General features: G+C 44.8%; 1 long non-coding RNA gene across 1 annotated transcript; it reads left to right on the forward strand.

Moving 5' to 3' along the window:
- The first annotated feature begins 12,836 nt into the window (after window positions 1-12,836).
- TTTY21B (testis expressed transcript, Y-linked 21B) lies at window positions 12,837-16,480 on the forward strand. Its single transcript, NR_003588.1, has 2 exons — window positions 12,837-13,038; window positions 16,376-16,480. It is a non-coding gene; the product is annotated as a testis expressed transcript, Y-linked 21B (long non-coding RNA).
- Window positions 16,481-17,161: the final 681 nt, after the last annotated feature.

Consider the following 17,161-nt stretch of genomic DNA (forward strand, 5'->3'; position numbering starts at 1 on the left):
GGGAACACAGGTGGGCTGTACCTAGAAATCACAGTGGGGTAAGTTTCTTTTTTTTATTGTACTTTAAGTTTAAGGTACATGTGCACAATGTGCAGGTTTGTTACATATGTATACATGTGCCATATTGGTGTGCTGCACCCATTAATTCATCATTTACCATTAGGTATATCTCCTAATGCTATCCCTCCCGCCTCTCCCCACCCCACAATTCCCAGTATGTGATGTTACCCTTCCTGTGTCCACGTGTTCTCATTGTTCAATTCCCACCTATGAGTGAGAAAATGCGGTGTTTGGTTTTTTGTCCTTGTGATAGTTTGCTGAGAATGATGGTTTCCAGCTTCATCCATGTCCCTACAAAGGACATGAACTCATCATTTTTTATGGCTGCATAGTATTCCGTGGTGTAAATATGCCACATTTTCTTAATCCAGTCTATCATTGTTGGATATTTGGTTTGGTTCCAAGTCTTTGGTATTGTGAATAGTGCCGCAGTAAACAAACGTGTGCATGTGTCTTTATAGCAGCATGATTTACAATCCTTTGGGTATATACACAGTAAAGGGATGGCTGGGTCAAATGGTATTTCTAGATCTAGATCCCTGAGGAATCGCCACACTGACTTCCACAATGGTTGAACTGTTTACAGTCCCACCAACAGTGTAAAAGTGTTCCTATTTCTCCACATCCTCTCCAGCACCTGTTGTTTCCTGACTTTTTAATGATCCCCATTCTAAATGGTGTGAGATGGTATCTCATTGTGGTTTTGATTTGCATTTCTCGGATGGCCAGTGATGGTGAGTATTTTTTCATGTGTTTTTTGGCTGCATAAATGTGTTCTTTTGAGAAGTGTCTGTTCATATCCTTTGCCCACTGGTTGATGGTGTTGTTTGTTTTTTTTCTTGTAAATTTGTTTCAGTTCATTGTAGATTCTGGATATTAGCCCTTTGTCAGATGAGTAGGTTGCAAAAATTTTCTCCCATTCTGTAGGTTGCCTGTTCATGCTTATGGCAGTTTATTTTGCTGTGCAGAAGCTCTTTAGTTTAATTAGATCCCATTTGTCAATTTTGGCTTTTGTTGCCATTGCTTTTGGTGTTTTAGACATGAAGTCCTTGCCCATGCCAATGTCCTGAATGGTATTTCCTAGGTTTTCTTCTAGAGCTTTTATGGTTTTCATCTAATGTGTAAGTCTTTAATCCATCTTGAATTAATTTTTGTATAAGGTGTAAGGAAGGGATTCAGTTTCAGCTTTCTACATATGGCTAGCCAGTTTTCCCAGCACCATTTGTTAAATAGGGAATCCTTTCCCCATTTCTTGTTTTTGTCAGGTTTGTCAAAGGTCAGATAGTTGTAGATATGCGGCATTATTTCTGAGGGCGCTGTTCTGTTCCATTGGTCTATACCTCTGTTTTGGTACCAGTACCATGCTGTTTTGGTGACTGTAGCCTTGTAGTATAGTTTGAAGTCAGGTAGCGTGATGCCTCCAGCTTTGTTCTTTTGGCTTAGGATTGACTTGACTATGCAGGCTCTTTTTTGGTTCCATATGAACTTTAAAGTATTTTTTTTTCCAATTCTGTGAAGAAAGTCATTGGTAGCTTGATGGGGATGGCATTGAATCTATAAATTACCTTGGGCAGTATGGCCATTTTCATGATATTGATTCTTCCTACCCATGAGCATGGAATGTTCTTCCATTTGTTGGTATCCTCTTTAATTTCATTGAGCAATGGTTTGTAGTTCTCCTTGAGGACATCCTTCACATCCATTGTAAGTTGGATTCCTAGGTATTTTATTTTCTTTGAAGCAATTGTGAATGGGAGTTCACTCATGATTTGGCTGTTTGTCTGTTATTGGTGTATAAGAATGTTTGTGATTTTTGCAAGTTGATTTTGTATCCTGAGACTTTGCTGAAGTTGCTTATCCACTTAAGGAGATTTTGGGCTGACATTATAGGGTTCTCTAGATATACAATCATGTCATCTGCAAACAGGGACAATTTGACTTCCTCTTTTCCTAATTGAATGCCCTTTATTTCCTTCTCCTTCCTGATTGCCCTGGCCAGAATTTCCAACACTGTGTTGAATAGGAGTGGTGAGAGATGGCATCCCTGTCTTGTGCCAGTTTTCAAAGGGAATACTTCCAGTTTTTGTGCATTCAGTATGATATTGGCTGTGGGTTTGTCATAGATAGCTCTTATTATTTTGAGATATGTCCCATCGATACCTAATTTATTGAGAGTTTTTAGCATGAAGGGTTGTTGAATTTTGTCAAAGGGCTTTTCTGCATCTATTGAGATAACCATGTGGTTTTTGTCTTTGGTTCTGTTTATATGCTGGATTACATTTATTGATTTTCATATGTTGAACCAGCCTTGCATCCCAGGGATGAAGCCCACTTGATCATGGTGGATAAGCTTTTTCATGTGTTGCAGGATTCGGTTTGCCAGTATTTTATTGAGGATTTTTGCATCAATGTTCATCAAGGATATTGGTCTAAAATTCTCTTTTTTGTTGTGTCTCTGCCAGGCTTTGGTATCAGTATGATGCTGGCCTCATAAAATGAGTTAGGCATGATTCCCTCTTCTTCTATTGATTGGAATAGTTTCAGAAGGAATGGTATCAGTTCCTCCTTGTACCTCTGGTAGAATTTGGCTGTGAATCCATCTGGTCCTGGACTTTTTTTGGTTGGTAAGCTATTAATTATTACCTCAATTTCAGAGCCTGTTATTGATCTATTCGGAGATTCAACTTCTTCCTGGTTTAGTCTTGGGAGAGTATATGTGTTGAGGAATTTATCCATTTCTTCTAGATTTTCTAGTTTATTTTTGTAGAGGTGTTCATAGTATTCTCTGATGGTAGTTTGTATTTCTGTGGAATCAGTGGTGATATCCCCTTTATCATTTTTTATTGCATCTATTTGATTCTTCTCTCTTTTCTTCTTTATTAGTCTTGCTAGCAGTCTATCAATTTTGTTGACCTTTTCAAAAAACCAGCTCCTGGATTCAAAGCAGTGTGTAGAGGGAAATTTATAGCACTAAATGCCCACAAGAGAAAGCAGGAAAGATCTACAATTGACACCCTAACATCACAATTAAACGAACTACAGAAGCAAGAGCAAACACATTCAGAAGCTAGTAGAAGGCAAGAAATAACTAAGATCAGAGCAGAACTGAAGGAAATAGACACACAAAAAACCCTTCAAAAAACAGTGGGGTATAGGCTTCAAAAGGCTCACCCCTACAACATCTAGGCATGCCTGAGTCATCCTGCAGATCCTTTTAGATCCTTATGGATTTCATGGTTTATTGCTGAAGCTCTGCTTGATGTTTCTTCAGGCTTGTTCACATCTGCCCTCTTCTAGGATCATGGGACTATCTCGAGGATCCACACCTCCACAGAAGTCTCCTTCTCAGCTGCCAAGATGCAGAGACTTAGGCAACTATGACATTCATGGTGATGCTAGCCAGAGCTCAAAGCTAAGGCCTTGTGCCCCTGACACTAGCGAATATGCATTTGCGAGGATGGCTCATGCACACAGCTCTCAGACCTGTTAGCCTAGGCAGAGGAAAATGGTACAAGTAGAGCCAGCTTTGTATTTAGAAAAAGGCTGCCTGAGATAACACACTGCGGTACTCTAAATGTCTTCAACTTAGGACCACGTCTTGTGATCTACATGGTCGGGTCCCACTGGAGTATGAAGCATTCCAGGACTGTGAAGTGGTGGCTGGAAACTGCTCTTCTGACTTCATTTCCAAAAGAAACTGTATGCAAGAATCTGGTCCCAAGGGGATTGGAATATAGTACGGTGAGTTTCCTTGTTGGCGGCAGTAATGGCAATTTACAATTTTAAAAATATCAAACCTGCCGAGTCATTAAAACATAACTGTGTTTAGAAGGAAACACTCATGCAATGGATTCCTAAGAGGGTTATTCTCCATGCAGGGGGAAACCTTTAGTGTGCAAGTGATTAAGCCAGACTCAGGAAACTGTAGGCTGACAAGGAACATGGAAGTCAGGAAAAGAAGAGAAAAGTGGCCACATCCCATTCAACATCAATCCTTTCCACTCCCATTTGGTTCTGGGTATGAAAACCCTCAAATTGGGAGTTTGCCAAAACAGCCCCAATTTGCAGTCCAACTTTTCCTGAAATATTGGAGGACTCCATCTGAACACTGGGTCATTTTATGGACTGCTTGTGCAATTAAAAGAATGTGGGAATGGTGTTGGAAACACCTTCTGTGTCATGTAATTTTTTTTGCAGGTGAAGTTGCAGAACCCCATTTACTCCTCATCAGATTGTATCTTCCCTCCTATCTGACTTTATTGCTGCTCACACTCTATGTCCCAGAAGGAAATCCCAAAATGATGGAGGAGTGTTTCCTCATGATGTGAAGTGCCTGCTGGGCTGGGAATTTCAAGGTATATTCAAGGGGACCTGCAGACAGGACTGCTAGTGTCTCTCTGTGTGTTGGCCACAGGAAAATAAAACACTGGGAGATGTCTCTTTTTTGGTGTGGTGTGCCCTCTTCTTTCTAGAAGAGTCAATTTTCTTGCAGGGTGAGCTGACTTGGATGCCTGCAGGTATCAGCCCACCTTCCAATTCACTGTGGATTAATAATCCATAGAACACGGAGCTCTGGACCCCAAGCAGAGACACACAGAAAGGCCACCAAAAGGTTTTGAGTCCCCCACCAAAAAAGTGCTGAAATTCATTAGCCATACTTCTTTAAGCAGACTCCACTAACAGGCACACACACACACAGGCATGCATGCAAACACACACACACCAAGCCACAAACACAGAAAGACATCTAACACTTGCAGAAAACACTCCCATGGAAACACAGCCTGGCAGCTTCTGATGCTGCCTGGTTCTGCAGGAAGCCCCCACTGGGAGAGAGCAAACCTAGGGAACATAGTTGGGCTGTAACTAGAAATCACAATGGGACAAGTTTCAAAAAGATTGACCCTACAATCTCTAGGCAAGCCTGTGGCATTGTGCAGATTTTTTTTTTTTTGTATGCATAGGGATTTCTTGGTTTATTTCCAGCGCTCTTCTTGACATTTCTTCAGGCTGGCTCACATCTGCCCTCTCAAAGCATCATGGGACTATTCCTTGGATCCCACAGGGAAGACAGGGGAAAATCCACAGCCAAAGCATCTCCACGAAGGTCTCCGTTTCTGCCAAGCTGCAGGGAGTTGTCACTAGGTAAAGGTGGCATTCACTGTGACTCTAGCCAGAGACCACAGCTCAGGCCTGGTGCCCTGAGACAAGCACATGGGCATTCACGAAGCCAACTCTCAAAGCTGTCAGACTGCCTAAGCAGAGGAAAATGATACAGGCAGAGAATGTTTGGTATCGGGAAAAAGGCTGCCTATTATAAGCTACTGTGGGATCCTAAAAGTCTCCACCTGAGGGCTGCCTTCAGGCTGAGGCATTTCCAGACTCTGAGGTGGTTACTGAAAACTACTCTTCTGACTCCATTTTTGAAAGAGTCTGTGTGCAAGAATCGGGTCCCATGGGGATTGGAATATAGTCTGGTGTGTTGTTGAGGGGTCTTTAGCTGACAAAATCAAACCTGAGACATCAGAGGTGGGTGTCAGTGAAAGATGACTGGGTTCTTAACCTCACTTCCTCCCTTCACCCTGGGCCTCACTGCCGCTCTCTGGGAAAGCCAGGAACAACAACAAAGGAAAGTCCAAGGTGGAGCAGCATTCTCACACCTCGAAAGGCCAATCATGCATTCAGATGATGCTAAGAGAATGTCTCAAATGCCCTCTGTGGTGATTGCCAGCCTGAAAAAAGTACTCAGTACTGCTGTTAAGGGACACAGTGAACCACACATGAAAGGAATGAAAAATCAAGGCTCTCCTGAGAGAATGAGCCGATTTGTGCTGGAGTCCTAGCAATGTTTCAAGATTCCCATCAGAGGACCCAAATCCTCCTGCAAAATTCAAACAACGTCAGCGTCCACATACAGACCATGACCCATAACCTGGAGCACAGAAGCCTATGCAAATTCCCTTTTGCTCCCTGAAATCTCTGGCTGCCAAAAGATCTGTGGCAAGAGGCAGTCCCATCCAGCAACAACCCAATGAAAGACACCCTCCACAATGAGAAAGTACGTGCAAATGAAATGAAACAGATCGTAGTTTACCAGTTAAAAGCCAGACACGATGGCCTGCTTGTCATCCTACAGGAATCATGCAGCCCTCCAATAGAAGTGGGAGAAAAAGACTTTCCTTGTTGGTGGCTGTAATGGGAATTTATGGTGTTAAAATATCACAGCTGCCCAGTCATTAAAATGTGACAGTGTTTAGAAGGAAACACTAGGGATTCCCATGAGGGTTGTCCTCCATGAAGTGAAAACATTTAGCGTGAAAGACTTGGAGCCAGACCCAGGAAAACCTAGGCCCACGAGAAACATGGAAGTCAGAAAAAGAAGAGGCAAGTGTGGAGGCCACATCCCACCCACCTTCAATCCATCTCACTCCCACTTGGCTGTGGAGATGAAAGCCCTCAAATCTGGAGTTTGCCAAGATATCCCCAGTTGCAGTCCAAATGTTCCCTGAACTTTGGAGTACTTCCAACTGAACACCATGCCATGAGGTTGAAAGCACCTTTTGTGTCATCTGTCTTCATTTCTCTTGCAGGTAAAGTTGTGTCACCCATGCACCCCTCACCAGATTGTATCATCACCCCTATTTGACCTTATTGCTCTCCACACTCTATGTCCCAGGATGAAATCCCAAAATGATAAAAAAATGTGCCCACCCCCCACAACATATGAATCACCTGTTCGGCTGGGATGCGAATTCGAGGTTAATTTAAGAGGCCCTGTGGACTGGAATGCTAGTGTCTCTCCTGGGTTGGCCAAAAGACAATAAAACACTGAAAGATATCTCTTTCTTGTGTAGTGTGCTCCTCTTCTTTCTGGAAGGGTGGTTTATGGCACACACAATGCCACATACAGACTCAGACATCCAACATTCGCAACACTCCCACAGAAACACCCAACCCAACAACTACTCAGGATGCATTGTTGTGCAGGAAACACCATGTGGGAGAGAGCCCCACAGCCCAAGCAGAGTCACACAGACAAGCCAACAAAAGTTTGGGAGACACAAAAAAAGGAAGTGCTGAAGTGCATTACCAACATTCCTTTAAGCAGACTGCACTTACAATCACACACACACATACATGCAAACACAAAATGTCACACACACACACACACAGACATCCAACACCCACAACACTCCACCAGAAATGTTTGGAGGCAAAAAAAAAAAAAAGAAGAAGCACTGAGTACATTAGTCACATTATTTTAAGCACACTCCACTTACAGGCACACAAACACACACAATGCCACAGACACATGCAGACATCCAAGACTTGCAACACTCCTGCAAAATAAGTAAATAAATAAATAAATGTTGGGCAGCTCCTGTCGCTGTGTGGTTCTGCAGGAATCCTAATCTGCAAGAGACCAACACCAAGAAACACAGGGGAACTGTACCTAGAAATTACAGTGGGACAAGTTTCAAAAAGACTCACGCCTACAATGCCAGACCTGAGGATTCCTGTGTATACTTTTGGATCCTTTGGGATTTCACAGTATATTCCTGGAGCTGTGGTTGATGTTTCTCCAGGCTAGGATCATGGGACAATCCCATGGATACCACGGAGACTAGTGCCTGTGCATTCATGAGGAAGGATCAGGCACCTGTCTCTCAGAGCTGTCAGCCTGCTTAAGCAGAGGAAAATGGTACAGGCAGAGCTGGCCTGGCATGGCCAGAAAAACTGCCTGTGATAACCCACGGCCAGACCCAAAAAGTCTAGACCATAGGACTGTTTTGGGCAGTCTCCGGGGTCAAGTTCTGCTGAAGGAGTTGTTTTGAGACTGTGAACTGTCTTTGCAACCTGCACCTCTGCCTTCATTCCCCAGAGAGGCTGTGTGCAAGATTCCATTCCCATGGGGATTGGAATATGTCTGGTTAGTTTTTGATGGGTCCTTTGGTGATGGAACCATAACTGAGACCCAAGAGGCAGATGTCAGCAAAAGATGGCCAGCCCCTTGATTTCACTGCCTCCCTTCATCCTGGACCTCACAGAGACTCTTGGGGAGAGATAGGAACCACAACAAAATCAAGTCCAAGATAAAGTGTTTGCACACCTCAAACTGGCCTCTCACAGGTGCAAATGAGGTTGAGACACCATATCAGAGGCCGTCTGTGGCAACTGCAAGCCAGAAAAATTGTGTCCAGTAGGGCTGATGCAGAGCAATGTGGGCCTCCCATGAAAGCAAACATAAATGAAGGCTCACCTGAGAGAACAAGCTGACTTGTGCGGGAGTCTAAGCAATGTTGAAAGATTTTTGCCAGAGGATTTAAAAGCCTCCTGCAAATGCCAAAAAACATCAGCCCCCACAAGGAGACCATGGCCCACAACCTACAGCATAGTCAGCATAGAAAAAATCCTTTTTGGTTCCTGAAGTTTTTGGCAGCCAAATGATTTGTAGCAAGAAGCAGTCCCATTCAGCAAGAGCCAATGAAAGATCCACTCCACATCGTGGAAGGACTTGCAGATGAAGTAAAACAGAGCCAAGATTACCAGGCAAATACATACATGGCTGCCTGCTTCTTATCCTACAGGAATCATGTAGCCCTTTGATAAAAGTGGGAGAACAAGGTTTTTCATGTTGGCGGCTGTATCGGGAATTTACGCTTTAAAAATATCACAGCTGCCCGGTCATTAAAACGTAACAGAGTTTAGAAAGAAACACTCAAGCAATGGATTCCCATGAGGGTTGTCCTCCATGAACTGGGAAATTTTAGTGTGGAAGACATGGAGGAAGACCCAGGAAACCATTGGCTGAAAAGGAACATGGAAGTCAGGAAAAGAAGAGGCAAGTGTGGAGGCCACAGACCACCCAGCATCAATCAATCACACTCTCATTTGGCTCCAGGTATGAAAGCCCTCACATTGAGGGTTTGCCAGAATGGGCCCAGTTTGTAATGTTCCCTGAACATTGGAGTACTTTCACCTGAACTCTGGGCTAAGGAGTTGAAGGCACGTTCCATGCCATTTTTCTTCATTTTATTTGCAGGTGATGTTGCAGAACCCCATGTACCCCTCACCAGAATGTATCCTCACGCCTAAATGACCTTATTGCTGCTCACAATTTATGTCCCAGGTTGAGATCCCAAAATGATGGCGAATTGCCCCCCAAAGATGTGAATCACCTGATCGGCTAGGAACAAAACTCAAGGTAAATTCAAGTGGCCCTTTGGACAGGACTGCTTGTGTTTCTCCCTGGGTTGGCCACAGGACAATGAAACATTTGGAGATGTCTCTTTTCTAGAAAAGCTCCTCTTCTTTCTAGAAGAGTGGCTTTTTTGGCACACACAGTGCCGCGCACACACACACACACACACTCAGATATCCTAGACTACAACACTCCCACAGAAACACACAGCCCAGCAGCCACTGAAGTTGTGTTGTTGTGCAGGCAGCACCACCTGGAAGAGAGCCCTATAGCCCAAGCAGAGCCAAACGGACATGCCACCAAGGGTTGGGAGACTCAAAAAAATAAAAAAAAGGAAGTGCTAAAGTGCATTAGCAACATTCCTTTAAGTAGACTCCACTTACAGTCACACACACACAAACACACAATCGTACACACATAGTTATCCACCAGAAAGGTTTGGAGACTAAAAAAAGAAAAAAAGATGAAGAAGTGCTGAAGTGTTTTAGCCTCATTATTTTAAGTACACTCCACTTACAGGAACACACATACAGAAATACACAATACCACACACAAAGGCAGACAAGCAACATCACAACACTTCCACAGAAAAACAAATTCCAGCACCAACTTAGGCTGTGTGGTTCTGCAGGGATTCCCACCTTGGGGAGAGTAACCCCAAGAAATACAGGCAGGCTGTACTTCACAGTGGGGCATGTTTCAAAAAGATTCCCTTCTACAACATCTAGGTAGGCCTGAGAAATCCTGCAGATCCTTTTGCATCCTTAGGGATTTTGCAGATTATTTCTGGGGCTGTGCTTGACCTTTCTACAGGCTGGCTCACATCTGCCCTCTCCTAGCATCATGAGACAATCACGTGGATACCACAGAGAAGACAGGCATGAGTCCACCGATGACACACCTCCAAGGAGGTCTCCTTCTCCGCCAAGCCACAGGGACTTTTTGCTAGGCAATTGTGACATTCATTGTGATTCTAGCCAGAGCTCACAATCAGGCCTGATTCTGTGAGACTAGCACACATGCATTCATGAGGCAGGTCAAGCAGCCAGCTGTCAGAACTGTCAGCTTGCCTAAGCAGAGGTAAATGGAACAGGTAGAGCCAGCCTGGTATCAAGAAAAAGGCTGTCTCTGAAAACCCACTGCAGGATGCTAAATGTCTCAACCTCAGGGCCCCTTCGGGTCATCTCTGTGGTTGGATCCCGGTGGAGGAAGAGGCATTTTGAGGCAGTGAGCTGGTCACTGTCCATTCCAGAAAGAGGGTATGTGCAAGAATCTGGTCCCCTGGGGATAGGAATGTGCTTGGGTGTATTGTTGAGGGTTCCTTGGGCGATAGAATCATACCTGAGTATCTAGAGGCAGGTGTTAACAAAAGACAGCAGTGCTCTTGACCTCACTGCCTTCCTTGATCCTGGGCCTCACAGGGGCTCATTGTGAAAGACAGGAGCAACAACAAGGGCAAGGTGGAGCAGTGTTCTCATATCTTGGACTGGGCTTTCACCCATGAAGGTGAAGTTGAGACAGGGTCTCAGCGGCCATCTGTGGGGATGGTAAGCCTGAAAGTGGTGTCCTGTTGTGCTGTTGAGGGGCACTGTGAACTCCCCTGGAAAGCAAAGACAAATCAAGGCATACCTGGGAGAATGAGCTGCCTTGTTCCGCGGTCCAGATGATGTTCATGATTCCTGTCAGAGGACCCAAAATCCTCTTGCAATTTGGAAACCACATCAGTTTCAACAATGAGACAAGGACCCACCTCCTTGAGCATAGGCAGACTACTTGAAGTCCCATTTGCTGTTTGAAATCACTGGCAGCTAATCTGTGGCCAGAGGCAGTCTCATCTAGCAATAGCCTAATGAAAGAGCCCTTCCATGATGAGAAGCCCGTCCAGATGAAATGAAACAGAGGATAGATTACCAGGCAAAAGCAAGACATGGCTAAGTGCTCATCCTACAGGAATTATGCAGCCCTCCAATAGAAGTGGGAGTTTCCTTGGTGGTGGTGGTGGTAATGGGAATTTATGATTTTAAAAGTATCAAAGCTGCCCAGTCATTAAAACTTGACAGTGTTTAGAAGGAAACACTTATGCAATGGATTCCCATGATAATCATTCTCCATGAACTGAGAAACGTTTAGTGTAGAAGTGGTTGAGCCATACCCAGGAAACCCTAGGCCAACAAGAAACATGGAAGTCAGTGAAAGAAGAAGCAAGTCTGGAGGCCACATCCCACCCAGCATCCATCAATTCCACTCCCATTTGGCTTTGAGTATGAAAGCCCTCAAATCGGGAGTTTGCCAGGTTGGCCCCAATTTGCAGTCCAAATATTTTTTGCACATTGGAGTACTCTCACTTGAACACCGAGCCATGTTGTTGTCTGCTTGTGCAATTAAGGGAATGCGGGGATGGAGTTGGAAACACATTCTGTGTCACCTGTCTTCACTATTTTTACAGGTGTAGTTGTGGGACCCCATCCACCCTGACCAGATTGTATCCTCATCCCTATTTGACCTTATTGCTGCTCACTCTCTATGTCCCAGTATAAAATCCCAAGACTGTGGTGGAGTGCCCCCTCATGACATAAAGCACCTCCTCAGGTGGGAAACAAATTTGAGGTAAATTCAAGTGGCCCTGCAGACAGGACACTTAATGTCTCTCCCTCGTTTGGCCAAAGGACAGACAATGAAACACTGGGCAATATCTCATTTTTGGTGTGACGTGCTCCTCTTCTTTTTAGAAGATTGGCTTTTTTTGGTACGGAGAGATGACTTGGACACAGACATCTCTCGACCTGCCTCCCAATTGACTGCGGATTTATGATCTTCCAAAAAATAAAGAACACAGGGACCCATAACCCAAGCAGAGCCACACAGCCAAGCCAACAAAGTGTTGGAAGAAAAAAAAAAAGAAGAAGCTCAGAAGTGTGTCAGCCACATTATTTTAAGCAGAGCCACTTACAGGCACACACACACACACACACACACACACACACACAAACACGATGCCAAAAACACACACAGACATCCAACACTCACAACACTCCCACAGAAAAATACAGCCTGGCAGCACCTGAGACTGTGTGGTTCTGCAGGAATCCCGACCTAGGAGAGAGCAACCCCAACGAACACAGGGCAACTGTACCTAGAAATCATTGTGGGACAAGTTTCAAAAAGACTCACCCCTAAAACTTCTTGGCAGGCCCATGAAATCTTGCAGACATTTTTGGATTCTTAGGGTTTTCAATGTTTATTCCTGGGATCAGCTTTACCTTTCTTCATGCTGGTTCACATCTACCCTATCCTAGGGTAATGAGACTATCCAGTAAATCTCACAGAGAAGACAGGTGACAGTCCACTGCCCACACAACTACATAGAGGTCTTCTTCTCTGGCAAGCCACGGGCATTGTAACTAGGCAATGGTGACATTTATTGTGATGCTAGCTAGAGCTCACAATCAGGCCTGGTATCCTGAGAGTAGCCCATGCACATTTTAAGGCAGGCTCAGGTAACCAACTCTCAGGGCTGTCATCCTGACTAAGCAGAGGAAAATGGTACAGGCAGAACTGAACTAGGGTGGGATAAAAGGCTGCCTGAGATAACCCACTGCCTTACCCAAAAGGTCTAGACTCTAGAGCCCTTTTGGGCAGTCTCCATGGTCAGGTCCAACTGAAAGAGGAGTCATTTTGAGACTGTGAGGTGGTCGCTGCAATCTGCTCCTCTGTCTCCATTCCAAAAAGAGACTGTGTGTAAGAGTCTGCTCTCTTGGGGATTGGAATACCATCTGGTGAGTCTTTGAGGTGTCTTTGGGTAATGAAATCATCACTGAGACCTAAGAGGTGGGTGTCAGCAAGAGATGGACAGGCCCTTGACCTCACTGCCTCCCTGCATTCTGCTTATCTCAGGGGCCCTCAGGGAAAGGCAGGAACCATGACAAAGGCAAGTCAAAAATAAAGCATTGTTCTCACACTTCAAACTGGCCTCTCACGGGTGTAGATGAGATTGAGACATTGTATCAGAGGTCGTCTGTGGCAATTGCAAGCCAGAAAATGGTGTCCAGTAGTGCTGATGAGGTGCAAAGTGGACCCCCCATGAAAGCAAAGAAAAATGAAGGTTTGCCTGAGAGAACAAGTAGACTTGTGTGGGAGTTCAAGCGATATTCAAAGATTTTTGTCAGAGTACCCAAGAGCCTCCTGCAAAGCATAAACAACATCGGCTCCCCAACAAGGAGACCACAACACACAACGTGGAGCATAGCCAGTCTACACAAAGTTCTTTTTGCTTCCTGAAATTTCCGGCAGCCAAAAGATCTATAGCGAGTGGCAGTCCGATCCAGCAAGAGCCAATGAAAGATCCACTCCACAGTGAAGAAGGACATGCAGATGAAGTGAAACAAAGCCAAGTTTACCAGGCAAATGCAGAATGGCTGCCTGCTTCTCCTCCTACAGGAATCATGCAACCCTATGTTAAAAGTGGGAGAACAAGAATTTCCATGTTGGCAGCTGTAATGGAAATTTAAGCTTTTAAAATATCACAGCTGACAACTCATTAAAACATGACAGAGTTTAGAAAGAAACACTCATGCAATGGATTTCCATGAGGGTCTTCCTCTGTGAACTGAGAAACTTTTGGTATGGAAGATGTGGATCCAGACCCAGAAAACCTTAGGCTGAAGAGGAATATGGAAGGCAGAAAAAGAAGAGCAAGTGTATAGGCCACATACCACCCAGCATCAATCCATTACACTCTCCTTTGGCTCTGGGTATGAAAGCCTGCACATCAGGAGTTTAAAAGGATGGCCCCAGTTTATACTTGAAATGTTCCCTGCATGTTGGAGTACTTCCAGCTGAACACCTGGCTATGGAGTTGGAAGCACCTTCTGGGTCATCTGTCTTCTTTTTTTTTTTGCAGGAGATGTTGTGAGACCCCATGCACTGCTCACCAGATTATATCCTCAACACTACCTGAACTTATTGCTTCTCATTATGTTCGAGGATGAAATTTCAAGGCAATGCTGGAGTGGCCACTCACAACATGAAGCACATGCTTGGCTGTGAACCAAATATGAGGTAAATTCAAGCAGCTCTGAAGACAGGACTGCTAGTGTTTCTCCCCGGGTTCACCACAGGACAATGAAACACTGGGAGATGCCTTATTTTTGGTGTGGTGTGCTCCTCTTCTTTCTAGGAGAGTGGCTTTTTTTGCAGGGGGAGGTGACTTAGATGCCAGCATATTTCGACTTGCCTCCCAATTCACTGCAGATTCATGATCCACAGAAAAATAAAGACCATGAAGCCCTGCAGCCCAAGCAAAGCCACAATGACCACACAACAGAATGTTGGGAGATTCGAAAAAGAAGTGCTGAAGTGCATTAGCCACATTATTTTAAGCATACTCCACTTACAGGCACATACACACACACACACAATGCCACACACACACACAAACAACACTCACAACACTCCCACAGATAAACACACACTGGCAGCTACTGAGGCTGCATGGTTCTGCAGGAATCCCCACCTTGGAGAGAGCAACCCAAAAACAATCGGGATATACTTAGAAATCACTGTGGGGCAAGTTTCAAGAAGACTTACCCCTACAATGTCTAGGCAGTCCTGAGGAATCCTGCAGATCTTTTGCATCCTTGGGGATTTTGTGGTTTATTCCTGCGGCTCTGCTTGACGTTACTTCAGGCTGGCTCACATCTGTACCCTCCTGGGAACATGGGATTATCTCATGGATCCCACAGAGAAGACAGGCAACAGTCCAAAGCCAACACACTTCCATGGAAATCTTCTTCTCCAACAAGACACAGGGACTTGTTGCTAGGCAATGGTGACATGTATTGTGATGCTAGCCAGAGCTCAGAATCAGGCCTTGTGCCCTGAGACTAGCACATGCACATTTGTGAGGGAGGCTTAGGTACTGTGCTGTCAGAGCTGTCACCCTATCTAAGCACAGAAAAATGGTACAGGCAGAGCAAGCCTGGTATCAAAAAAAAAGGCTGCCTGCAAACCTCCACTTCAGGACCCTAAAACTGTCAAACTGATGGACTCTCCAGTCCATCTTGGTGATCGGGTCATGCCAGAGGCAGAAGCTTTATGTTACTGTGAGGTGGTCACAGGAAACTGCTCTTGTGACTCCATTCAGGAAAGACCTATGTGCAAGAATCGGGTCCAGCGGGGATTGGCATATAATCTGGTGTGTTGTTGAGGGTTCTTTTGGTGATAAAATAATACCTCAGATCCCAGAGTTGGGTGTTAGTGAAAGATGTCCAGGTTCTTGACCTCACTTCCTCCCTTTATTCTGAGCCTCACAGGGCTCTCTGGGAAAAGCAGGAACCAAGACAAAGGCAATTCCAAGTTGGAGTGGTGTTCTTGTACCTCGGATTGGCCTCTCACTAGTGCATATGAGTATAGACAGTGTCTCAGAGGCTGTCTGTGGTGATGACAAGCCTTTAAATGGTGTCCAGTAGTGCTGTTGATGGGCACTGTGGATTCCCTGTGAAAGCAACAGAAAATCAAGGCTCACCAGAGATCAAGCGGTCTTGTGCTGGAGCCCAAGTAATGTTCAATGATTCCTGTCAGAGGACCCAAAACCATCCTCCAAAGTGCAAACATCCTCAACCCCCAAAAAGAGACAACAACCCAAAACCTGGAGTGCAGCCAGAATAGCCAATCTTTTTTATGGTCTCTCAAATCCCTGGCCACTTAATAATCTATGGTGAAAAGCAGTCCAATCTGGCAACATCCCAGTGAAAGAGCCCCTCCACAATAAGAAGGCCATGCAGATGACATGAAACAGAGGCTAGATTACCAGGAAAATGAAGACACTGCTGCCTGTTTCTCATCCTGCAGGAATCACGCAGGCCTCTGATAGAAGTGGAAGAATAAGAGTTTTCTTCTGGATGGCTTTAATGGGAATTTATGGTTTTAAAACTATCAAAGCGTCCCACTCATTAAAACATGACAATGTTTAGAATAAAACACTCACAAATGGATTTCCATGAGGATAATTCTCTATGAACTGGGAAACTTTCTGTATGTGTGCTCCCTTTCTGTCTAGAAGAGGGGGTTAGAGTGGTTTTTTTGTTTGTTTGTTTTTTTGTTTTGTTTTTGCAGGTGGAGGTTATTTGGATGCTGAAACATTTTGGCATGCTTCCCAATCCACTGCAGACTCATGAATGATTCACAGAAAAATAAAGAACACTGAGCAATACAGCCCAAGCCAAGCCACACAGACAGGCCACCAAAAGGTTGGGATACAAAAAAATGAAAGAAAGAAATGCTGTAGTGCCTTAGCCACATTCTTATAAGCAGACTCCACTTACAGTAACACATGCACAAACACACACAAACCCAATGCCACACAGACACACAGACATCAAACACACAGATATCCAACACTCACAACACTCCCACAGAAACACACAATCCAGGATCCCCTGAGGCTCTGTGGTTCTACAAGCAAACGCAGGCAGTCTGTAGTTAGAAATCACAGTGGTGCAAGTTTCAAGAAGACTCATCCCTACAATGTCTAGGCAGGCCAGAGGAATCCTGCTGATCTTTTTGGATCCTTAGGGATTTCATGGTTTATTCCTGGAGCTGTGCTTCAGGTTTCTTCAGGCTGCCTCATGTCTGCCCTCTCCTAGGATCATGGGACTATCCTGTGGATCTCACAGAGAAGACAGGCGATAGTTCACTGCTGACGCACCTCTACAGAAGTCTCATTCACCAAGCTGAAGAGACTTGTTGCTAGGTAATGGTGACATTTATGCTGATGCAAGCCAGAGTTCACAATGAGGCCTGGTGCCCTGAGGATAGTGCATGCACATTCGTGAGGCAAGCTGGGGAGCATGGCTGTCAGAGCTATCAGCCTGCCTAAGTAGACAATAATGGTACAGACAG

This window comes from Homo sapiens, chromosome Y, assembly GCF_000001405.40.
Source record: "Homo sapiens chromosome Y, GRCh38.p14 Primary Assembly".
Classification (NCBI taxonomy): domain Eukaryota; kingdom Metazoa; phylum Chordata; class Mammalia; order Primates; family Hominidae; genus Homo; species Homo sapiens.